At 43.2% G+C, this 24,281-nt stretch overlaps 1 protein-coding gene and 1 long non-coding RNA gene across 17 annotated transcripts in view, besides 4 other annotated features; one reads left to right on the top strand and one right to left on the bottom strand.

The window, feature by feature from the left end:
• The window catches only part of HOPX (HOP homeobox), a 33,709-nt gene extending 13,401 nt beyond the window's left edge, over positions 1-20,308 (top strand). For 4 of the 15 annotated variants that reach the window (XM_017008728.2, NM_139212.4, NM_001438047.1 and 1 more), the window contains 2 exons: positions 12,294-12,449; positions 19,509-20,308. In XM_017008728.2, coding sequence (XP_016864217.1) covers positions 12,294-12,449; positions 19,509-19,586 — 234 coding nt within the window. In that variant the 3' untranslated portion in view covers positions 19,587-20,308. Of the gene's footprint in view, positions 1-8,602; positions 8,654-8,767; positions 9,014-10,404; positions 10,576-11,788; positions 12,007-12,293; positions 12,450-17,493; positions 17,624-19,508 lie in introns of those variants that run through there. The other 11 variants (NM_032495.6, XM_047416319.1, XM_047416321.1 and 8 more) reach the window with 10 other exon arrangements.
• LOC124900708 (uncharacterized) lies at positions 333-13,015 on the bottom strand. Of its 2 annotated transcripts, none has more exons than XR_007058128.1 (3): positions 9,833-10,413; positions 4,962-5,113; positions 333-3,324 (listed from the first exon to the last, which is right to left on the bottom strand). It is a non-coding gene; the product is annotated as an uncharacterized LOC124900708 (long non-coding RNA). The 2 variants fall into 2 exon arrangements; XR_007058129.1 differs by lacking the exon at positions 333-3,324 and adding an exon at positions 12,714-13,015 and having other exon boundaries at positions 4,749-5,113; positions 9,833-9,968.
• Positions 4,037-4,851: an enhancer, noted in NCBI's record as "NANOG-H3K4me1 hESC enhancer chr4:57529621-57530435 (GRCh37/hg19 assembly coordinates)". NCBI's record gives its function as "activates a minimal SCP1, AML or CMV promoter by ChIP-STARR-seq in primed H9 embryonic stem cells {active_cell/tissue: H9 hESC(primed)}" and the evidence as "EXISTENCE:reporter gene assay evidence [ECO:0000049][PMID:30033119]".
• Positions 4,037-5,667: a biological region, named in NCBI's record as "hESC enhancers GRCh37_chr4:57528805-57529620 and GRCh37_chr4:57529621-57530435".
• Positions 4,720-4,910: a silencer, noted in NCBI's record as "fragment chr4:57529562-57529752 (GRCh37/hg19 assembly coordinates)". NCBI's record gives its function as "represses an EF-1alpha promoter that drives an FKBP-Casp9 reporter gene in an ReSE screen in phorbol 12-myristate 13-acetate-treated (for megakaryocytic differentiation) K562 erythroleukemia cells {active_cell/tissue: K562(+PMA)}" and the evidence as "EXISTENCE:reporter gene assay evidence [ECO:0000049][PMID:32094911]".
• Positions 4,852-5,667: an enhancer, noted in NCBI's record as "OCT4-NANOG-H3K4me1 hESC enhancer chr4:57528805-57529620 (GRCh37/hg19 assembly coordinates)". NCBI's record gives its function as "activates a minimal SCP1, AML or CMV promoter by ChIP-STARR-seq in naive and primed H9 embryonic stem cells {active_cell/tissue: H9 hESC(naive and primed)}" and the evidence as "EXISTENCE:reporter gene assay evidence [ECO:0000049][PMID:30033119]".

Raw genomic sequence — 24,281 nt, 5'->3', positions numbered from 1 at the left:
TCTCACACTGATATTTCCATTCTCCTTTGTTCGCTTTCTTTATTTCATCTATGACACAAGTATATAAATATAATCAGTTTGGCCGCGTGTGGTGGCTTACTCCTGTTAATCTCAGCACTTTGGGAGGCCAAGGCGGTTGGATCACCTGAGGTCAGGAGTTCGAGACCAGTCTGGCCAACATGGCAAAACCCCGACTCTACTAAAAATACAAAAATTAGCTGGGTATGGTGGTGGGCGCCTGCAGTCCCAGTTACTTAGGAGGCTGAGGCACAAGAATCACTTGAAACTGGGAGGCGGAGGTTGCAGTGAGCCGAGATCGCACCACTGCACTCCAGCCTGGATGACAGAGTGAGACTCCATCTTGAAATTATTAATAATTACACCAGTACAACAGGCGTACATCAGAAGTGTCCCAGGCAAACCTGGATATCGGGTCCCTTTATTATACATAAAATGTTAAATTTCTCACTTAGGTAGAGAATAGTAAAAATGCTCCTGTTGAACCTAGGTATCACTGCTGCTATTAGGGATTAGCAAAATGCAGGTCTGTTAGGATGCTGGAGGAAAGGAAAACATATACTTAACTACAGTGATGAACAGGAGGCTGTTTTTCACTCTTAAAAATGCATAGTGTTGCAGCTCTGTGGTTAAAGGCAAGAGGAAACATTTTAGCTTCAAATTTCCCAATCTTTCATTTTTATTGCAACTTGAATATGTAGGATAGGAATCTGTCTGGTAGACTGAGTTATGCTTGGGCCTCTGCCTGCTTTGGTTATTGTCAATACGGTTGTGCTAATGCTTAGTAAGTGTGAATATCCATTACATCTCCAACAGAGTCAGTCCTGTGATCAAATATAAACAGAGAAAAAAAAACAGTTTGTCCTAGAGATTTCTATGGGGCACAGCCATGCACTCAGGGCTTTTCAAACTGGATAATAGAGAAGAGGCTAGATTTGTCAAACAAATTGAATTATCAAATCTCTTTGAAAATGTCTAACGTCCTAAAACACCAAGAAATGAGGCAAATAGATTTCCGATATTGGGGGAAAATATCAGTGTTTTCTAAAGAGAACCTTATGCTTTTATGTCAAGATAAAGGAAAGTCATACTTCTTGAAGGGAAGATGAAATTCAATCAACATGCATTTAATAGATATTCACTGAGTACCTACCAATGTTTCAATGACAATTCTGGATACCTGGACACGTTGAAGTTGTGCTATAAATCTGTACAGTCCTCAACAGTTCCTTGAAACCCTCTTCAATATCTGCACCAAAACCTCATTTCCCTAAGCAAGATTTTAATTAAAACTGAATTTTCTTAAGTATTTTCTTTTAAATAACTTATTAAATTTCACCAGGATATTTCAATAGGATTATTTTATACTTTTTTCCATTACAGATATATAGCAGTTTAGTATCTATGAAACCTTTAGTGGGTTAGCCTGGGATCTTATCTACACACTTACAATATTCTTTCTCGGGAAAACTTTTTCTGAATTCATAACAATCATCATAGAGTTAGACTAGACCTTTAGAAAAGCAACCTGTTTACAAAATGGAGATCTATATGGAAATTATGGAAATGGAATTGCTTTCTTCTGTTTGCCCATTTATTTCTATGAAAGTAGACTAAATACTCCACTTATTTCATAGCACATTCAAAGAAGAAGCCTAAGTTTTATGAGCATCTTTCACTGTTTCCCCAGGTTTCCACATACAAGATTAGAACACGAATTGGGCTATCAGTGAAAAGAACTCAGGGCATATGCAGAGTTTTATGTCCAGGGTTGACTAATGATTCATTCACTGCTGGAAGTCATTCACAGACACCCTTTCCTCCAATGGCTTTTCATAATATCTTCCTGTTTTCAGTAAGCGGCTACAGAAAGTCTGGACTACTGAGAGACTTGTTTCAACAACAGTTTCAGGATGATCCTTAATTCTACAAAACTCTGTACCTCTAGGGATTAAGTGGCAGCAATCATCACTGAGCTCCAGCTGGTCTGGTTGAAGCCAGCCTTTCTATTCTATCAGATGCTGTAACGTTTCTTGTTTGTATTCTATATTACTCACATAATGCCATCTTTCAATGATGTCTGCATCAATTGAAGAAGAGCGTGTGGGGAAGGAAAGCCAGCCTGGCTGGTAGTGCCGGTGGTTTTAACTGAAATCACTGGCTAATCCATTGAGCTAGGGCAGAGCCATGTCTGGTCACCAACACTGAGAAATACGCCACAGGGAGGGAAGTACTCAGACTGGCCCCAACCCACAGGGAGCCAGAGCAGACACCGGGCACTGCCTTTCTTCTGTTCCTCGAGCCCACCTGGCTCTACTGCCCCTTTCACCACAACTTCCCATCAAGGATCTGCTGTCTGCAGAACTGTTCGGTGCAAAGAGGAAAGATGGTGTAGTGATTAAGAGCATGGATGCAGAAGTTAGATTTTCTGGGTTGGATCTGTGCTCTGTCACATACTAGATTTGTGATTTGGAGGAAGTAATATCCATCTCCTTGGGAAGGGTATATAAGTTTCCATCTATATAAGTTTCTACATATATAAAATGAAAACAATAAGAACACATAGTGTTGCTGCTCCTCTGATGATAAAGTGAATGAATGCATCTAAGGCACTTAGACAGGACCTGGCACACAGTAATTATTCAACAAATATGTTGTCACTATTGTTATAATAACAGAGGTGAGGTTTCTGTAGGTGATTCAGCAATAGGAATCAACTCTATGTTGTTTGGGGGCACTGAGGATGATATCAAAAGGCTAGAGTGTTATTTTCTCCAATTTTACATTTTGGCTAGTCCTTGTTGAACACAGAGCAGTTTTTTCCAAAGTTATGTCCTAAATCAAGTCATGTCAAATGCCATTGTTTAGGTTCTGTTCAACAGCCATCCAATGAGCACATATTAAGTGCCAGACTCTCCTAATGAACACTGGGGAGATTTAAATGTATGAGAAATGACACATCCCCCATAGAAGTGCATATAATTTACTGGAGAAGACAGGCTTATGAACAAATTATTTCAAAACAATTTCAGCCAGGCATGGTGCCTCATGCCTATAATCCCAGCACTTTGGGAGGCCAAGGCATGAGGACTGTGCTGAGCTCAGGAGTTTGAGACCAGCCTGGGTAACATAGCGAGATCCCATCTCTACTAAAAATAAAGAAAATCAGCTGGGCGTCGGGGTGCTTACGTGTAGTCCCGCCTACTCAGGAGGCTGAGGTGAGAAGATCGCTTGAGCCCTGCAGTTGAGGCTGCAGTGAGCCATGATTGGGCCATTGCATTCCAGCCTGGGTGACAGAGCAAGACCCTGTCTCCAAAAAACAAAACAAAGAATTTCCATTTGGTCATTACTCTCATAGGCCATGACAATCTCAAAAAAGTGACTCACCAATTCATAAAATATTTGTTCCTCCTTGTTATCACCTTCCTCACTACTCATCTTCTGTCCTATTTATGCCTCCTCATTAATAGATGAGAGGAGAGGAGGAACTGGGGAATGGTGGTGAGGAAGGAGCAGAGAAATAATTATTTTAGTGAAAATGCTAACAACTAAGTATAAACCAATGCACAGTGTACAAGTGCATAATGAGAAAACATGCTTAAGATATCACATCCCTCCCTGCCATGCCATTCTTGAGAAGTGCCATGTAGGGATACATGTTATGATAAAGCAAATATACAGCATTGGATTTTTTTTTAAGGGGTCTAATTTCAACCATTGTGCTTTACCGTTCCAGAAAGATAAGAGATTGTAACCCAGAAGAAGTGAAGTTTATAAGCTCTTCTTACTGGTTTGCCATCCAGGGGATACTTTACGGAAAGCCTAGCTCATAGCTATTTAATAGTAATATCAGGCTGGGCATGGTGGCTCACGCCTGTAATCCCAGCAGTTTGGGAGGCTGAGGTGGGTGGATAACTTGAGGCTAGGAATTTGAGACCAGCCTGGTCAACATGGCAAAACACTGTCTCTACTAAAAAAAAAAAAAAAAAATTAGCCAGGCATGGTAGCACACGTCTGTAATCCCAGCTACTAGGGAGGCTGAGGCAGGAGAATTGCTTGAACCTGGGAGGTGGAAGTTTTGGTGAGCTGAGATCACGCCTCTGCACTCCAACCTGGGCAATAGTGTGAGACTCCATCTCAAAAAAAAAAAAGAATCTTCCAAGCAAGCACTTTACAGTTGAGAGACATGTTCCCTATAATAACATCATAAGAACTTTACCATAAAGCTGTGAACTAGGCAAAGGTAGACATTATTATATTCCTTCTTTACATAAATGAAATGGAGGCTCAGCAAAGTGACATTTCAAATAATTAGTACAGAAGACTTCTCATTATTTGAACTTTTTTCTACATTAATTCCAATTTCATTTTGTTCTTAATTTTGCCATGTTTCTAAAACAGAGTGGTTCCTAAGGCAAGAGGAAAGCCAACCTAGAAGGGAGGACCTGGGAAATAGCAAGCTGGTTTAGCAACTACACAGAGCACCTACAAAGGCACACATCAGGCAGGGCGCGGTGGCTCACGCCTGTAATCCCAGCACTTTGGGAGGCCGAGGCTGGCGGATCATGAGGTCAGGAGTTCATCACCAGCCTGGCCAACATAGTGAAACCTCGTTTCTACTCAAAATACAAAAAATTAGTCGGGCGTGGTGGCAGGTGCCTGTAATCCTAACTAATCAGGAGTCTGAGGAAGGAGAATTGCTTGAATCTGGGAGGCGGAGGTTGCAGCAAACTGAGATTGTGCCACTGCACACCAGCCTGTGGGACAGTGCGAGACTCTGTCTAAAAACCAAAAAAGGCACACATCATATATGCAGAACTGAAAAATTTCAAAAGGCAGCACTTCGTATTTTTAAGAGATGGACTAATTACTGAGATATATACCATCAAAAACCAAACCTGATGACACCTTGACTCGACAAAACTTGCAGGAATAAGAGGTACCTAGGAGGGTGTGGTCACTGGTGACCAGTGGGAATGGCATGAATTCAAGTATAGCTGTCATCTCAGTCTTCCTGCCTCATCAAGTCAAGTGCAGCGTGTTCTAGGAGAACAGCATGCTTGCTTGTCCTGATAGCAAGTGGTTCTGCTTGTACCTGTAATTGTTACATGGGGTCAAAAGTTAAGAGCTCAGACTTTACAGAACAAAGGAACAACCTGCCCAAATCATCTGCATTTCAATTTACTCTTGTGAAAAATGGAATCAGAACAAAACTTGAAAGGAGAGATCCCATTATCTTTATTGCCTAATGTCAAGTAGGTGTTAGGGCTTTTTAAAGAGATGCATGGAAGTCTGAAAGAATGTCACCCCAGTAGCCAAGTAATGAAGCAGGAAAAGGTTGAAAATGGCCTATATCCCACAGTGGGAAAGAAAAGACAGGCTGCCTTCAGCCCCAACTCTTAACTAAAGGGACAGAGGATGATCAAGTTAGAGCTTAAATATTCAAATAGGTGATTTGGTGATATCTTAGAACCTCTGACATCAATAGAGCATAAGAAAGATATATTTGGGGGCCAGGCACAGTGGCTCATGCCTGTAATCCCAGCACTTTGGGAGGCGGAGGCGGGCAGATCACTTGAGGTTAGGAGTTCCAGACCAGCCTGGCCAACATGGCAAAACTCCATCTCTACTAAAAATACAAAAATTAGCAAGGTGTGGTGGTGTGCACTTGTAATCTCAGCTGGGGAGGCTGAAGTAGGAGAATCGCTTGAACCCGGGGGGCGGAGGTTGCAGTGAGCCAAGATCACACCACTGCACTCCAGCCGGAGCAACAGAATGAGACTCCGTCTAAAAAAAAAAAAAAGAAGAAAGAAAGAAAGAAAGAAAGAAAATAATACATTTGGACGAATGAATCAATCTTGATGCTCATGAAATCAACAGCCTTTACTGCTATAGCCAGAATAAAAGGTAGAATTCTGAGTCTTCCTCTGATGCTGTAGACAATTTAACTCTTTTTAAAAAACCTCAAAATAGAACTAACTCCATTCTGATTTCTAAGAGAGAATTGTGAAAGAAATGAAAATAACTAATATCAAACTGCTTTTGAACTGGCACTTAGCTGTTTAAACATGTAAGCGCATTATTTCAGTTTACATGGATATCCTATTTTAAACCCACAGCCTAACAGCTTTCTGTCCATCTTTCTTTTACACTTTCTTTTCATTTTTCTTTTATACTTTCCATCTCTCCCTTATTTCTTCTTCTTTAATTGGTCATTTTCAATCTATCTCTGTGGTTTTCATTTGGAGACTTTGATATTTACTTTTGTGGGAGGGACCAATAATTAATAAGGCTAACATATTTTAAAGCACAAAATCAAATCCTGACTCCCAGGAGTTCTGTAGAGGAGAAAATGGTAACGTTTTTAGCATGATACAGACAAAGGGTCTTAGTAATTAGTTTTCCATACATTATATTTGTATTGTTCTTGGTGACCAATGGAAATAACTGGGCTAGCCTGGAAACAGAGTCCATAACTCTCACAAAATAACTCAACTCTCCTTTTGGGCTGCAACAGGAAATATTTTTACACAGTAAACAGTAAACATGTGGAAACTTTTAGCCCCAAGATGTCATGCAGGCTGAAAACATAAATAGCTTCAAGAAGGCTTAGATACTATTCATGGATAAAAAGAACACACAACAACTTTGGCAAAAATTAGGTTTGACCGTACAAGTGTTGATGAGGATTTGGAGCAAAGGAAATGCTATACACTGGTGGTAAGGGGTGTAGTTTTGTTCAACAACTTTAAAATACAAGTTGACGTTATATTGTAAAGCTAAACAGCACACACTCTATAAACCAGGAGTTCTACCCCTACTGTATACCCTAGAGAAATCCTCATAGAGAGGCTGCAGAAGGCATATACAAGAGTGTTCAGAGAGGCAATGTTCAAACAGAAAAAAATCTGGAAACAACCTAGATATCCACCAGTAGGAAAAGACATCTACTACATAAATTGTATATTCACAAAATAAAAACAGCATTGAATATGAACGAACTTCTCTATACGCAGAATGTGGATTTGTTCTGGAAACACTGTTGAGTGAAAAAAGCAATTTACAGAAAAATTATATATGGTATGACATCATTTTTAAACAACTCAAGAGCAAAACTAAAAAAAAAGTTCTTTTAGGGATCCATACATATGTGATAGAACTAATTTAAAAAGCAGTGGCTGGACGCAGTGGCTCATACCTGTAATCCCAGCTGCTCAGGAGACTGAGGCCTAAGGATCACTCGAGCCCAGGAGTTACAGTGAGCTATGATCACACCACTGCACTCCAACCTGAGGGTGACAGCGAGACCCTGCCTCTAAAAAATTGAAATAAAATGAAAAGCAAAGGAATGATTAACACAAAATTCAGAATTGTGTTTTTTTTCTGGGGGCAGGTCAGCAAGGGGATGGGACTCCGGGAAAAAAACAGGTAGCTTCCATAGTCTTGGTAATGCTTTAATGCTTAAATTGAGCGGGGTTCACCAGTGTTTATTTAATTTATGCTTCATAACTTGCATGTACATTACATATATCTATTTGATACCTAATCATGTTTGCATGAAAAATGAAAATATTTACTTCCCTAATCTTCTAAATAGTCTTGGAGAACAACTCTCATACTTTTCCAAAAATATTATTTGATACCAATAATCAAATAAAACTTTGAGCAAGGTGGACAACTGGTCCGATTGAGGACATTGTTATATAGGGGGAAAAAAAATTTTTTTTCAAATCCCAAAGTCATAAATGCTTATTATAGAAAATTTGAAAAAGCAGAAAAATATAAAGAAGAGAATGTTTTAGATTGTGCAAATCCATAGTTGCACAATCTAGATATAACCACTGTTAACATTTTGTGGTATTTCTCTCCAGTTTTTTTAAATATATAAAGTTGAAATCAATATAACATTTTAAAATGCATTTTCCTATTTAGATTTGGGATCTTGTTCCCGTAAAGGTAGCAATGATGCTATGTATTTGGGATGTATTCAGAGTAATGTTTGGTTCTAAGTTCTATTAAATATGTTTTGTACATAAATAGTAACTTAAATTTTAGAATTTTTCTCATTGGGAAATTTAAGGAATTAGAGGAGAACAGTAATACTTAAGACTGCCAAATCTTTTCCATTGTGACTTTTGGCATCCAAGTCATTTACTTAAAATGTGTGTGATGAACTGGAAGGAGTTTTCCTTTCAATGATTTGCTTTCTTAAACTCTGATCTCATCACAAGAATGCATTTTTTCTGAAAAGTTTTTAAAAGGGTTTTATTTCATTTCTGAACTTTTGAAAGCATTGGAGAATATCTGTTTTCTTTTGCTAATTTATAATTTTAAAGGCATTTTCCCCATTTCTGACCACATATACAAAAGATTAATAGCATTAGGTTTAAATTAGTCATTCTAATATCTACTTCTAAAAGCTTATTCCTTTAAAATGACTTCAACCTACCATCTACTTAAATGTTAAGATGATATACAGCATTAGAGCAGGTATACGGCATAAGAATATTTAGAATTGATTTTAATGATTAAATTGCAAATCTTTTTAAGAGCTGAAATACTTTTTGTGTCTCTCTCGTGCTAGGTTTCTAAAATGCAGTTCTGGTTCAAGAGGTGGGCTTAGACATTTCCACAGGTAATTCTGAAGCCCATCCAGGCTTGAGAAGCACTGCTGTTAGCTTAAGGATACCAATCTCCAAGTTTATACTTAAAAGAACAATTCTCTCTCTCTCTCTCTCTCTCCTTCCAGCTCTTGTGCTAGCCTGGAGAGGCAGATGAATACTCAACTTCTGTTTTTCAATTTCTGGGGCGCCTTGACAGCTTGGGCGATGCCCCCTTCTACCACCTTCAGAGTAACTGAATAAGTGACGAAGGGGAAGACCCCATCCCCTTCCAAAGACCCACCACTTCTCTTGCGGAAGTGGCCACACATCATTTTCCTCACTTAGGAAAATACAAAATGTTTCAAGAGCCCATTGCTTCCAGGAAGTTCACAGTGAGCATAAAAGAAATATAGGCTAAAGAATAATCCACTGGCTTGTTTCCCTTTTGGCCAGCTCACCACAGGACTCTGGGTTTATTTGGAGAATCTGCCATTGATAACCTTTTGTTCTTGGTTTGATATTAGTGCTATTACAAAGAGGTCAGAATGACTGGGAGAGGGAGGATAAGATGACAAATTTGAGCCCAAAGAAATTTTTTGGTTACTACAGAGGTAACCAAAGATTTCCAGTTGATAGTGCTTTTTGTGAGCTAGTTTATAAAAGTAGATATTTTTAAAATAAATGATTACAGGATTAGGGGACAAAAGTAGAACCATTGGGTTGACCCAACTGTCTACCCCAAGCATTGGAATTAATTTAGAAAAAAGCCAGCAGATTGCATGTAACATCTTGAAAAAGCTTATGCAATGTCTTCCCAAAACCACAAAGGAAAAATATAACCACAGGACAAATTACTCCTTGAATGTCTGATGAGATATGAATAGCCACAACAATAAAACTTGTGCTAAGATTAACGTCTGAGTAGCTTTAAAGTATTTTTAGTTCTTTTAATCTGAAATTGTTTAGACTATCTTCAGAGAAACTTCTCAACTGTTTTCTTACTGGAAATAGTTGAAAAGCTTTATAAGGCCAAGGTTACCCAGGCAGTTTGATTTATATCTTCTTTAAGAGAGACAGAGCGAGAGAAGAAACGAAGTAACAGCAAACATTTGTCAAGCAAAGGGCTGAGAGCTTTGCAGAGAAATAACAGATACATTTGACTATAGAGATCTTCCACCTTCGTTTCTAGAAATCAGGTTTGCTTGGTGTACCTTGGAGAAGTAGGCGCTTTCAAATGGTCCTCCCACAAGTCTCAGCAGCCAACCAAAGCCAATGATTCTCAGCCAACTAACCCAAGGAGTTCTTTAAAGTTAACCAGGACCTCTCCACAAAATCTCATACAAAGTCCTGTAACAAGAAGCCACAGAAATCTCATAAAATAAAATGCAGTAAATTAAATGTAAGACCAGTAGCAGCCCTTGAGTGTTATAACAGGAATTAAATAACCAAAAAAGAGGGGAAAGTATAAGCAGAACAGTCAGTTTAGAAATTAATATTTCTGAAGGACTGAGGATTCTACAAAGAAAAAGACAAAATTTTCATGGAAGAGCCGGCACAACTATGTTACACAAAATTAGCTGGAACCTTCCTAAGGCAAGAAGTAAAATCAGAGGCAGCTGTCTCCCAGCCCTTGTTTTCTTTCAAGCGAAGCAAGCAGTGGTGGGTGGTTCCCGTGGGCAACTTTGGCTAGAATTGGTGTCCTACTAGGACAGTCTATGCCCATTCAAAATGGCAATGAGCTCCTGCCTGCATTATGACTACTGCCCTCCTGATTTTTCCTACCAGACTAATGACAGACTGCCCCACTGAGAAGGGTCTAGCGGAGCACAGGTCACCAGCTGGGCAACATTCAGAAAGTTAGTCTTCCTATGCTCATTTTCCTGGGCTGTTACAGAAGAAGACTGGAAGAGGTAATTTCCAAGGTTCTTCCCAGCTCTGAAGTTGTGTGTCAAAGGTACGGGCAATGGGTGCACACAGAAGAAGAAGTGTTTCTGACCTGGTATGACCCTCTCCTGCCTAGCACCGTGACAGGAATCAGTGCTATGATTTTTAGGTGGGAAAGCACAGAATCCCCTAAAAACATGGGATTTCATGGTGGCTTGGCAAGTGACTTGAGCCAGACTCTCACAGTAGAATGACTTCCCGTTGTGCCTGAAAGCCCCTTCAGAGTGACCCAAAGGAGAGGTAAAGACACTTATTTAGGAAGTAGAAGATGCAGGTCACAGTGGAGAAGGTTATAACAGCATTGGGTACATTCTGCCGGGACATCAGTGAAGTGTGGCTCATCCCAGGCACAAACCACATCACAACCTACTCAGGATTGTGCTGGATGATTTTGCAATTGTTTGTTAAAACAACAAACCAACGTGATTCCCACACTTGCCCTTGTCTTTTACTGTCAGCGACAGTCAAGTCCTGACAGGTGTGCCAAACCCACAGCCAAGGATATCTTGAAGACTCCAACTTTCTATACCTTCATGCATCTTAAATTAGCAGGAGGAGGTGGATGGGGTTACATCTGCCAATTTTTAAAATTTTTAAGTTTTTGGTCCCAATTCAGAGACTTCGTAGGTATGGAGAGAACCCAGCAGGAAGTCATGTTGCTTCAAATTTGCTAGAGTAATGGTTGGCTCTAAAGTAAGGAGATACAAGAGATCTTGAAGCTTGTGATGGGCCCATTTTCCTGACTTTATAGTAAATTTTAATACAATCACAGGGAAGTCTGAAATTTTAAAAGACAGCTGACTGGATCCTCCTCAGTTGGATTGTGGCTCCATCTTGCAAGTCCTCCCCTCGGGGAGCACACAGTGAGGCAGGCTCTTTGCCGTAAATTGTGGAATAGTGGCCTGGTGACTGCAGGCCGGGGACTCACTAAAGCATACTTAGAAAGAGTGGGGGCGAAGGGTTGAAGGAGGAGGTTGCAGAGCGGCAGAGTGGCACATGCAAGCCCACAGGTGGAAGTTTCTCCCGTGTCTCAATCCCCTGCCTTAAATCACTTCTCTGCGGACCTATCTCCATCTCTGTAAAATGGAAAGACATTAAAAGCACCGCCTCCGTCTCCCCAACTTTGAGAAGTAACTTGTCTTGCGGGGAACTTTTTTGGAGGAAGGGTGGGGTGTGCAGCCCTGCCTGGAGAGGGCCCCAAAGCGCCAACCCACTGCGGAGACAGAAGGCCGCCTACCGGGGAGGCCGGAGGCCGGCTAGTCGCGGACTCGGGCGAACCCACCCTCGCGATCTGTCAAGTCTGTCCCCAGGGGAGGTCCCCCTTTCGGGAGGAAGTTTTTAAGGGGATTTCTCAAAATCACCCCCGCGCTTCCTTCACTCCTTCCTTAGAGCCGGAGGTCGGTGAGGGCCCGCGGAATCATCTATCTCGCCCCCGTCGCAGGCAGGGATACAGTTCCTGCAAGGGGTCCCGGGGGGCGCGGGAGGCGCAGGACGCTAGGCTCTGCCGTCAGCCCGCAACAGCGCTCAGTCCAGGGAGGGAGGCCCGGGTGGGGGGCAGCCGTAAGCCCCCGCTCAGCGTGCAGCCACCGGGGACTTGCGCGGCCGTGGCACCGCTGGAGGGGGCGGCCTGGGGCTGGGGCTGCCCGGCGGCGCCGCGACCGCCTTCCTTCGCTGCGTCCCGCCCGCTCCACGCCTCGCTCACCGCCGCCGCTTCTCCCTGCCCCGCAGCGCGCAGGGACCATGTCGGCGGAGACCGCGAGCGGCCCCACAGAGGACCAGGTGGAAATCCTGGAGTACAACTTCAACAAGGTCGACAAGCACCCGGATTCCACCACGCTGTGCCTCATCGCGGCCGAGGCAGGCCTTTCCGAGGAGGAGACCCAGGTGCGTCCCCACACGCGCCCAGCGCGCCCCGACCCCTGCCTGGGCTGAGCCTTCTCGCGGCTGGGCGGTCCTGTTCGTCCGCGCCTCCCGCCGGGCTGCCCTCCCCATGATCTCCCATCGCTTCTGCCCGCATCCCAGGGGCCCAGACCCTGCATGGCTCCCGCCGCCGCCTCCCCGCTTCCCCGCTCCCATGGGCGCCCGGTCTCCCCGCCACCCCCATCCAGCCGTGGTTCCCCGGGAGCTGCGCAGAAACCCCTCGGTCACCAGTCCTTTCTTTTCCACTCTCCCCGGCAGCCCGGGATACACGCTTTCTCCCTCTGCGAGTTGGGAGCAGCGTCTCTCGCCTGTCCCTGTCTCGCCTTCCCGGCTCGGTCCCCTCTGGTCTGTCTGCGAAACCTTCGGGAAGATCTATTCTAGGCGGGAATGTCAGAGCTGGAAGGCGCCCCAGAGACCAGCTAGCCATAAATTCAGTCCTCCGGTTTGGCGAACCAGGAGGCTGAGGCCGGGAGGGAGGGCGCTGTCAGGATGGCAGGAGCGGTGAAGCATGCTCTCTCCACCACATCACACTGCAGCGTCCCCCGAGCTGCAGAACTCACGCTGCACGAAGCCACGGAGATTTGGTTCCGATTTTTTAAAAAATTCCCCGGCTCTAAGGTTTAGAGGTTTTTCCTGGCGTTTTATAAGACGGTAGATAGCTAACATTTCAGCTGACGGCAGCGGCAGCCGATGTCCCCCTAAGTGCATTCATTGACTTATCTATTTTTTAAATGCTCCTGTATTATCCCGAAAAGTGCCAGGTAAAGAATGCAACACGGCCTGTGGTTGTTAACCACAGGTGCAATGTGGGAGCCTTTAGCTGACTTTTAAAACCCTGTCTAAACTCCGACTTCTCTTTTCCCTTTGGTCATGGAAAGACAATCCTTTTGCATGATAGACTACTTGGAACTGATCTAGCATCTCTCCTGTGGGTCCCCAAAGCACTTCACACTTCTAACCTCAACTCTAAAGCAGAGACATTATTTTTCCTATTTTATATACCAGAGCATCAGGCACTTGTCCTGTCACCATGAGCCATGCTCAGTTGAGGTTTAGAAGCTTGTAATGGATCCAGTAGATCCAAGGACCAAGACCCTGGACCCCAAGTCCAAAATTATTTTTACTAATTAAGCCAGAGGCACTCTTTGGAGAGCTTGTCCATAGATGATCCTGTCATTTACAGGTCAAACAGAAAGGCAAACATATCTATTTTTAGCAAATGGAACAGCTGTCTGGCCAACCAGAACCAGAACTTAAAGGAAGGTGATTTACTGTAACCCAAGTCTAACAGCTCATGTTTCTTGGCATCCCCTGAGAAGGCAGCCTGCTGAAATTTTATCATTTGAAATCCCACGCTATGCTTAGAAAAGAGGAGTGATCATGGAGACAACTTATCTTTTAAAAACAAGGCTGTGAAATATTGTGGGCACAGCACCAACAAGAGGTCCAACCCCTTCTCGGCCTCTGATTGTGCCTGGCGAGTTGCCATCAGTCATCTTACCTATAAAGCAGCATAATTACGTTGACCTTTGTAATGGCTAATACTTGCCAGGCATTTTTCCAGGCACTGTCCAAGTAGTACATCATTTATTTGTCACAACAATGCTGTGAGGGTAGATACTATTAGCCCACTTGTCCAGATAAGGCAACTGAGGCACAGAAAGATTAAATATACTTGCCCAAGACAGCAGCCAGAAGGCAGCAGGACCAGGATTTGAACCCTGGAAGCCCAGACTCTTAACCACCTTGCTATGCTCTCTCTACAGAGGAGGCATAGAAATCACTAGATGAGCAGGAGGAGACAACTGACAACTCTCTTGGTGCTGTCTTTCCTCTGCATTAGGCAACAGTCCTCCCAGGCTATATTCAACCTTTCCTCAAGATTCACATGATATTAGAGAATTGAAATAAAATCCGGTTAGGGGTAGGAAGAAGAAAAGGGCACCTGCTTTTTTTCTGTGACTGAGGTCAGCCAATTCAGACCTCTGCATAGCAGGTTCTTCTGCACCTCTCAGGCAGTCCTCCCATTTCCCCCCTTCTGCCATTCTCAAATAAACAAGTGGTAGACCCAGCCCCAAAATGAGTGGATGTGGGGTGAGTCAGCCTCTTAGCAGGGCCCCTGGCTTCCTCTTCCTGCCACAGGACCAACACCTTCTTCCTCCCTATGGCTACCACAGCTTGGCTTGCCCCTCTGTCTTCCTGCCTTGACCTGCAGGGAAGCATCTGGAACCCCAGAGCTTAGAGACAGGCAGCACTTAGCAAGCTCAGAGAAAGAGACTTCCTAGGAACCACAGGCTGTCTGCTTGCCCTTACTGGATTGGGTGTCATCTTTCAATTTCCCATTCTTTCCCCTCTCACCCCACTACCCCCATGGGTACTGGTGAATGAGAATGATTTCTTCTTTCATCTTCTCAAACAACATTTATATTTTTAAAGAGTATCTCCTATGAAAAAGAAAGTGTCTGGCTGGGCACAGTAGCTCACACCTGTAATCCCAGCACTTTGAGAGGCTGAGGCAGGAAGATTGCTTGAGGCTAGGAGTTTCAGACCAGCCTGGGCAACATGGCAAGACGCTGCCCATCTCTACAAAAAATAAAAAATAAAAAAGTAAAAAAATCAAACAGGTGTGCTGGTGCATGCCTGTAGTCCCAGCTACTCTGAAGGCTAAGGCAAGAGAATCCCTTGAGCCCAGAAGTTCAAGGCTGCAGTGAGCTATGATCATGCCACTGCACCACCTAGCCTGGGTTACAGAGGGAGAACCTGTCTCAAAATAAGTAAGTAAATAAAAATAAAAATATTACAAAAAGAAAGTGTCTTCTGGAGACATATGCCCAATGATGAACTTTCCGTCATTAAAATTATTTTTGTTTATAGCAGGTCTTGAGGACCCTTTAAATAACTCCATGGAGGCTAGGACCTGCTGGGCCTACATATAAGTAATGTCTGGTATTGACACTTCCCCAGTTTCTTTTTCTTTCTTTCTTTCTTTTTTTCTCTTTTGGAGAGAGTGTCTCACTCTGTCATTCAGGCTGGAGTACAGTGGCACGACTATGGCTCACCTCATCCTTGGCCTCCCAGCCTCAGGCAATCCTTCTACCTCAGCCTCCCAAGTAGCTGGGATATAGGCATATACTACCACATCTGGCTAATTTTTAAGCTAATTTTTAAATTGTTTGTAGAGATGGGGGTCTCACTATGTTGCCTGAGCTGGTTTTGAACTCTTGGTCTCAAGCAATCCTCTTGCCTTGGCCTCCCAAAGTGCTGGGATTACAAGCATGAGCCATCGCAGCCAGCCTCCCCTATCTCTGTTCTTACTAGTGTTGCTCCTTTCCATGGGAAAGGGTCACTAAAGCCAAACTAACATTTGTTTCATGTGCCTGAGTCCTCATCCCACCCCAACACCACCCACCTCCAGAAATGGAATCATATTCTTAACTTCCCTAGAACAAGTAATACTTCAGTACCACAAAAAGAAGCCTGAGCTGCCCAGTGCTCTTGCAAGATAGTTACCAGAACTGATTCACAGGGCCGATACTTGGGGCAGGGACAAGCGGGACTAAGAAGTTGAAACATTCTCTGTCTTGGGAGATTTGCTGGCCTCTTTATAATTGTCCCACTTCAGGACAAAATTCTCTGTGGGGGTGGAGGTGGCACCCATAAGAACTCAAAGTAAAGTGAAGGGTGCTGTAATTGAAATAACTTTCTAAGTTGCATTTACTGGGATGTTAGAATGGGTTTTTCTCAATACAGTAATCTAAATATCTCCTAGATTTAAATTAGATGAAAACTTACAGAATCCCAGCCCTATGTCTTTTATTTTGAAGTCAGTTTTAGAAGAGGCTGGGAAATCTCCTTCCTCAGCCCCGTGGGAGGTTGGGATGATCTGGTGTTTTCTATTATTTCAAACACACACACACACACACACACACACACACACACACACACACTCTCTCTCTCTCTCTTTCTCTCTCTCCCTTTCTCTTCAATTCAAGCACAATGTAACTGGAATTGGTTCTTAGGGAGGTCTCCAAGTATTTTTATCTCCTCTTGATGTCCTGAGCTTGTTCCCAGAACCCAGTGGTTTTAGTCACTGGATGTTTTATCGGTGGAATAAAGACCTCTAAAGGTCTCTTCCTGAAAAGAATGAAATGTTAGTTACTAGAGAAAAGGACAGGAACAATGTTCCTTTGCCCCAGCCCCTACCCATCACAGTGTCTAATTATCATCTGTTTATTCAGAGTAAATAAATCTCCATCAATGGGCAAGGGTAATGAGGGCATTCATTTATAAGCAAGCAAGGGATGAATGTCTTTCCCAGTGGATGACTGAAACAAAGAAGAGAAGGATAAAGCCAGGTGGAAAATTAGCACTGATGTGCATGAGATTGATAAGATACAGCTCTAAAGGGAAAAAAGCAAGCAAGGTATTTAATGATTTCTGTTGGATTGCAACTGGTTTTGCTAAATTATTATATATATACTTGATTTAAAATACGCATCTTCAAAAAACAGTTGAGCTTTTCTTGACCTCCTCCCATCCCCCAATGTTAGGGCTCAGTTTGTTAAGCATTTGGGTACCAACTCACAAAACCACAAATGTGGTCCCTGCTGAAGTTATTTTCAGTAACAGTCCATCAATATTCTGCTTCATTACATAGTGTAAAGATGTGGGTGGCTCTTTTAAATGAGACCAGCTCAACCATTTTTTCTTAAATGAAATCTGATAGAAAGTGAGATTTTCCTCCTCCAGATTTTAATTAGTCAGTCTTTACAATGCTGCCATTTCTTCAGCTGTAGTAACTGGAAATCCTATTTAATCAGACCTTGCATCCTTGAAACCCCCCACAGAGCTACCTCATTAATGAAACTGGAACCTTGCTGCTCTCATACCAGAATCCAGAGTTAACTAAACACACGCACACAGGTTACAGAAGAAAATGGGCCCACCCTTAGCAGTAGAATTTCGATTGAAGCTGCCAAAGTTACATGAGTTCTCTCTTCTCATGAAGGGTAGTGATTTGATCTCCAGGAGCAAAATATGGCACCCAGAAAGTAGCCCCCAAAGAGAAGGCTACCCCCATGATAGTCTGCCGTGCTTGGCTTTCGATTACTTTTCTCTACTGCCGCCCCAGTGTAAAGGTATGTAAGATCTTGACAACTGTGTAAAGGATTTCAGTGTGTAAACTCTGCTGTACAGGTGGGTGAGGTGTAGGTGTGTTCCCATGCTATTCAGCCTGCTTAGCATTGATGTGGAGCCCAAAGCAGTCCTGCAGAGCCTTACCCCCATTCAAGCTCAACAGCCTCTCCTCTAGGCCTTGCTCCTTCTCCCCCTGTGATTCTCACACTTTCTTCTGATCTTGGGCTTATATACTGAATTCCCTTTCAGCTTCCTAGAGCCCATCCTGTTCATTCTGAGTATCTGTATAGGCATCAAGCCATGCTATGTGGGGAGCCCTCTAGAGGTTTCTCACCATCCCATCTCCATCAGCACATCCCAGATCTGGCATCTCACAGCTGTGCTCTTTCTGCTTCCTTCCTGTTCCTCGTCCCCTTACCCCTAGAACAGGTGAATTATAGAAATACCAGAAGGGACAGTAGAAACCCCCTAAGCTTACGTTTTTATTTACAGATGATTGGTGCTCTATTTTTAGGGACTTCCTCAAGTTCTCATAGCCAATTAGTTACTCTAGAGCTTCCTGTTGGCAGAGCCCAGGGCTGCAGAGCCCTGGGTGGTCACCTACCACACAGCCTGCCTACACACCAGTGACACACAAATATTGTCCTTCTCAATGTACCCCATGACATGTGAATGGTTGGGAAGCACAGGAGAACAGAGCTTGGGGGAGGTGCTGACTTCCCATAGAGCTCTGTCCTCATCCTCTCCAATGTAGGTCAATGCTTGCTCATCTGTTTCCTCACTAGTCTCTCTTCAAAGTTGTTTTGCTTTGTTTTTTATTCCCAGTTTCCTCTTGATCAACCTGGTCCAGACCCTGGCCCTATCCCCAGCATGGTTCTCCTGTTCTCCTCTTTGGGGAGCTCTGTACCACCCCGGTTAGCAAGATAAAGGCAGCCACTGATTTCTCAAGGGTATACCACACTGCCTTACAACATATAGGCATGTTCTAGGCCTCATATGATACCGTGTCTAGAAACATCCCATCTGGGGCCTTCTGTACATCCATGGTCACTTCTGTAAGGTGTGAATATTTGAGTCATACGGAGCTGAGAGATTCTGAGTAAAGTGGTAGGCCCACTTTAGCTTCTCTCACTGCTCAGTGGCCCTGGAGCAGGATAGATTGGGCTGGCCTACTCCATGCATCCCCAAGGAGTGCTCTGAGGTTGTGCAGCGCTCAGTTACCTATTAATCTTATTCAACAAATTCTTACTAACTGCTACCAATGAGGAAGGCCTTTGGTGAGCTGAGCATACATTGATGAAATACAGCAGCCATAGAGATCTATCTGGGGCATTAAGGAGATGCTTTAACTTCTTTTATTTATTCAGCAAATATTGATTAATTTCTAACTCTTAAACCTTTGTACTAGTGGCTAAGGATGCAATGGTGATAGGATGAATACAGTCTCTGCTTTCATGGATCTTACATTCTAGAAGGGAATATAGATTTAAAACAAGTGAATACACAAGTAAATCATGACAGATGCTAAAAGTTCTGTGAAAGTAACAAAATACTAAATTGGGAAGTAAGGAGATGAGTGGGAAACCCATTTTAGATAGAGTGATCAGGGAAGGCTTCATTGAGAAGGTCCTGTTTAAGCTGAGATGTGAGGATGACAGGGAGATCATCAGATAAAGAATAAAGAGAGAATATTCTAAACATAGGAAATAGCATGTGCAAAGGTCCTGAGGCAGGAAAGTTTAGTGTCACAGTGAGAACCATCCCTATGGGAACATTCCTTGATTCTCTCCTTTCCACTTGTGCCACAGAGGCTACCTTTTAGAAAGGGAACAGGCATTTCAGTTTTTCTGTATGTGACAAATATTTTTTCTCATTTCTCTCTTCCAGAAATGGTTTAAGCAGCGCCTGGCAAAGTGGCGGCGCTCAGAAGGCCTGCCCTCAGAGTGCAGATCCGTCACAGACTAAGGAGATGGCAGGCATTGACAGCTTCACTCCATGAAGGCCATCTCTGTTTCTCTCCTCCGCTTAACCAAGCTGTTGTGGTTTTTCAGCATAGTGTTGTATGTTCCATTGCTAGCTGTCCTGCTGTTTAACACAGTGTTGTATTTTTTTTCTAAATGTACATAATTAGAAAAGAAAATAACAATAGGAAGCTATGTGTATCTTCTGTGTAAAGCAGTGGCTTCACTGGAAAAATGGTGTGGCTAGCATTTCCCTTTGAGTCATGATGACAGATGGTGTGAAAACCATCTAAGTTTGCTTTTGACCATCACCTCCCAGTAGCAATTTGCTTTCATAATCCATTTAGCAATCCAGGCCTCTGTTGAAAAGATAATATGAGGGAGAAGGGAACACATTTCCTTCTGAACTTACTTCCCTAAGTCACTTTCCTTATGTATCATCTAATACAATGATGGTTGAGTGAAAATACAGAAGGGGTGTTTGAGTATTCAGATTTCATAAAACACTTCCTTGGAATATAGCTGCATTAACTTGGAAAGAAGCCTGTTGGGCCAGAAGACAGAAACTCCAACTGGCAAAAAAGCAAGCATCTAAGAAAAAAAACCACCAAAGTTCTTGAATTTACTATATTTAAATGCATTGGTTAAGTTTATTTTGCTAAATAAAGTGAACTGCTTTTTGTCTCTAAAATGATATTCTAAATAAAACCTTAACTTTTTGTTGAAGATGCACTGAGTGAGTTCTCTGCAGGTTTTTAACGAAATAAGAAACATATCAAAGAGAAACAAAATAATAGCTCCTATGTGGTAGGAGCTGACTGACCAGGAGAGCTGCCATTTTCTAAATCCTTGCTACTCAAAGTGTGTTCCAGGACCAGCCTCATCAGCATTAGCTTCAACCTGGTGAGAAATGCAGAATCTCAAACCCCGTTCCAGACCCAGTGAATCAGAACCTGCATTTTTAAGAAGGCCCTCAAGCGGTTTATATGCACGTGGAAGTTGGAGCAGCACTGTTCTAACAAACTCTACACTCAATTTGCATTCATTTACTATCATAGCACACTAGATGTCTGCTATGGCCTGAATGTGTCCCATCCCCCCCGCCCACACCCCGGCCCCCAACAAAATTCATATGTTGAAACTTAATCCCTAAGGTGGTGATATTAGGAGGTGGGGCTTTTGGGAGGTGACCAGGTCATGAGGGCTCCACCCTCATGAATGGGATTACTGCCTTATAAAAGAGGCCTGAGCAAGCTTGTTTGCCATTCTGTCATGTGAGGATACATAGGAAGCACCTGGGAGGAATGGACCCTCACCAGATTGAGGGCTCACCATAGTCTGCTGGTGCCTTGATCTTGGAGTTACCAGCCTCCAGAACTGCGAGCAATAAATTTATGTTGTTTACAAATTACCCAATCTAAGATATTTTGTTATAGCAGCCAAACAGAGTAAGACACCATTTTAATAGTCTATCAGTTAAGACTGTGTTTGATTGCATGGAAGAGTGACTTGATTACAATGGATTAAGCAAATAGGCTTGTTTCTTTGTTTTCTTTTCTTTTTCTTTTTCTTTTTCTTTTTTCTTTTTTTGAAACAGAGTCTCACTCTGTTGCCCAGGCTGGAGTGCAGTGGTATGATCTTGGTTCACTGCAACCTCTGCCTCTCAGGTTCAAGCGATTCTCCTGATTTAGCCTCCTGAGTAGCTGGGCTTATAGGTATGCACCAACACACCCAGCTAATTTTTGTATTTTTAGTACAGACAATGTTTCGCCATGTTGGCCAGGCTGGTCTCAAACTCCTGGCCTCAAGTGATCCACCCGCCTCAGCCTCCCCAAGTGCTGGGATTACAGGTGTGAGCCACCAGCCTGGCTGTTTCTTTGTTTTCTTGATTGTGTTTAAGTAAGACATCACCAGGTAGGTAATCCAGGGCTGTTAGAGTAGCTCCCTAATGTTGTCAAGGAGCTGGGGTCATTCCATCTTCCCATTTTACTATCTGTAGTACACAGCTTTTGTATTCATGGATACTTGGACACTGCATCTGCCTTTCAAACAAAATGAAGAGAAAGAGGGAGGGAAAGCATAGGGCAAATGCCAGCTAAGACTTTCCTCTCTAAAAAGATTTCCTGGAAGCCCCCACCTAACAACTTCCACCTACATCACATTGGCCAAAGTGAGTCACATGGCCACTCCTAGCTGCAAGGGAGTCTGGGAATTGGGGCACTTGTAAATGAGCATAGTGCTGCCTTGAGCAAAATTAGGGTTCTGTTCGTAAGGAAGAAGGGAAAGATGGATATTGGAAAGGCTGATAACTACACCTGCTAATCCAGCCTGGGATGACACAGGTATACACTTCTGAACTCTTACCTCTAGTTCAGGAACAGTCTTTCTGGTTCTCTAAAATTAAGAAACCAAAAGTGGAAACACTAACAATTATTTATTTAGAATACAGATGTTTACAAGATCCTATTAAACATCCCTGGGCAAGCTTCCTCTTCCTGTATCTTAAAACTTTTCTTCTGACAACAAATACACAGTGCACCAGGGTCTGAGCAAAACAGACTCATATCTAGCATCCTCTCCTGCAACCTAAGTAGTGGGGATCTAAATTGTGGACAAAGCAGACTGAGTATGGTGATTGGTCCATGTCAGGCAATGAGAGGAATACTAAACCAGGTCTAAGATCCAGGTCAGAAGTCTTTCCAACACACTAGAGAGATGATTCAAGAACAATCCAGAGCAACAGCCAGGCACGGTGGCTCACACTTGTAATCCTAGCACTTTGGGAGGCTGAGGCAGGCAGATCACTTGAGCCCAGGAGTTCAAGGCCAGCCTGGACAACATGGTGAAACCCTGTCTCCATTAAAAATACAAAAATTAGTGGAGACTGGTGGCATGCACCTGTAGTCCAACCACATGTGAGGCTGAGGTGGGAGGATTGCTTGAGCCTGGGAGGCAGAGGCTGCAGTGAGCTGAGATCATGCTGCTGCACTCCAGCCTGGATGACAGATTGAGACCCTGTTAAAAAAAAAAAAAAAAAAAAAAAGAACAATCCAGGACAAAACCAGCTGGGCAGAGAGTGTGCCTTTAACTTGGGCCCAGAAGCCCCATTTATGGTAAAAGAATCACTTCCTCTGCCCAATAGTCTAGAGTCCTTGAATGGCATGTGATGGGAGGGAATGAGGGTTCAGTGTCCTTTTAAATGCAAGTATGTTACCAGTACTAATCTCCTTGAGTTTGCTTTTTCAACTGTGAAACAGGGATAGCAACATTCTACTAAATTTTTAAAAAGCACTTTGTAAATAGTCATAATAATTGCTACTGCTACAAAGTACTAACAGACAGGGCAAGGTTTACTTTGATGCCTGAGATAAGTCTTCACAAGAACGCAGAACTCTAAGTTTTATTGTCAGGAGTCTCTTTTGGACACCCAGGGTCATACACCAAAACAATAATGCCCACCCTAGACTCAGAAAAACTGCACAGTGCCCTCTGTCTCCACCTTGTATCCTAGGTGTGCAGTTGCAGACACTGTAGGTTAGCTGGACCCATCATCATACCCAAGCCCCTTCTCTGTTGTCACACTTCTTTCATGAGACTGTAAGGGCTGGAAACATTAAATCCTCTCTTTTCCATTCTCCCTTGAGGCTGTGTGGTCACATGACACAGTCTATCCAACAAGGATCAGGTCAAAGGCGGGAGGTCAAAAAGCCTTTGGGGAAGGCTTTTGCATTTCTTGATAAAAGGGACTTAAGCAGCAGGTTCTGTTCTTCACTCCTTTCTTGCCTTGTACCATTTTCAGTTGTTCATTGTAGAAATAGAAATAAGCAAAAAAAGAAAAGAAAGAAATGATAAAACCAACAAAACTCATAAAAATTACACATGATCGGGCTCCAAAAATTAGGGAGAGGGAAACCCCTGCCTAATGAAACTAATAAATGTTTAAAACACTGTAAAAAATTACCCATGATCCCACCACACAGAGGTAACGTCTTACTAACCTTAATATTATGCTATATCATATTGGGGGAAGGCATGTTTTCTATGCATAAATACACATGCAACAGGGAGAAGAACTTAATTCAGAAGCTAGCAGCAGATTGAACCATTGTTCTGAGAGGATGGAAGGATGCTTCCTAAGGAAAAAATTGGCTGTCTTGTTCAGGAAAACATATTTTTTTTTTTTATTTGAGATGAAGTTTTGCTCTTATTGCCCAGACTGGAGTGCAATGGCTCAAATCTCGGCTCACTGCAACCTTTGCCTCCCGAGTTCATGCGATTCTCCTGCCTCAGCCTCCCCAGTAGCTGGGATTATAGGCGCATGCCACCACACCCAGCCAATTTTTGTATTTTTAATAGAGACAGGCGTTTACCATGTTGGCCAGGCTGATCTGGAACTCCTGACCTCAGGTGGCCTGCCCGCCTCAGTCTCCCAAAGTGCTGGGATTATAGGCATAAGCCACCACACCCGGCCTAGGAAAACATCTTAATAGTTTTGGGGGCTGTGAAATATAGGTCTAGAAGACGAGGAAAAAAGAACTCAGTGGCTGTGCACAATAAAATACCATTTGTCCCACGGAGATTCAGGTAGGATGACGTTTAGGATCCATGGGCACTTGGAGAATGGAGAGGTGGAGGAGAACGATTTGGTAAGGGACGGCAGGCACAATGTCAGCTGACCCAGAAGGCACCAGTGAGAGGC

The sequence above is a fragment of the Homo sapiens genome, chromosome 4 (assembly GCF_000001405.40).
Source record: "Homo sapiens chromosome 4, GRCh38.p14 Primary Assembly".
Classification (NCBI taxonomy): domain Eukaryota; kingdom Metazoa; phylum Chordata; class Mammalia; order Primates; family Hominidae; genus Homo; species Homo sapiens.
Note: the sequence above shows the minus strand (reverse complement) of the source record. Positions and strands in the feature narration are given on the sequence as shown.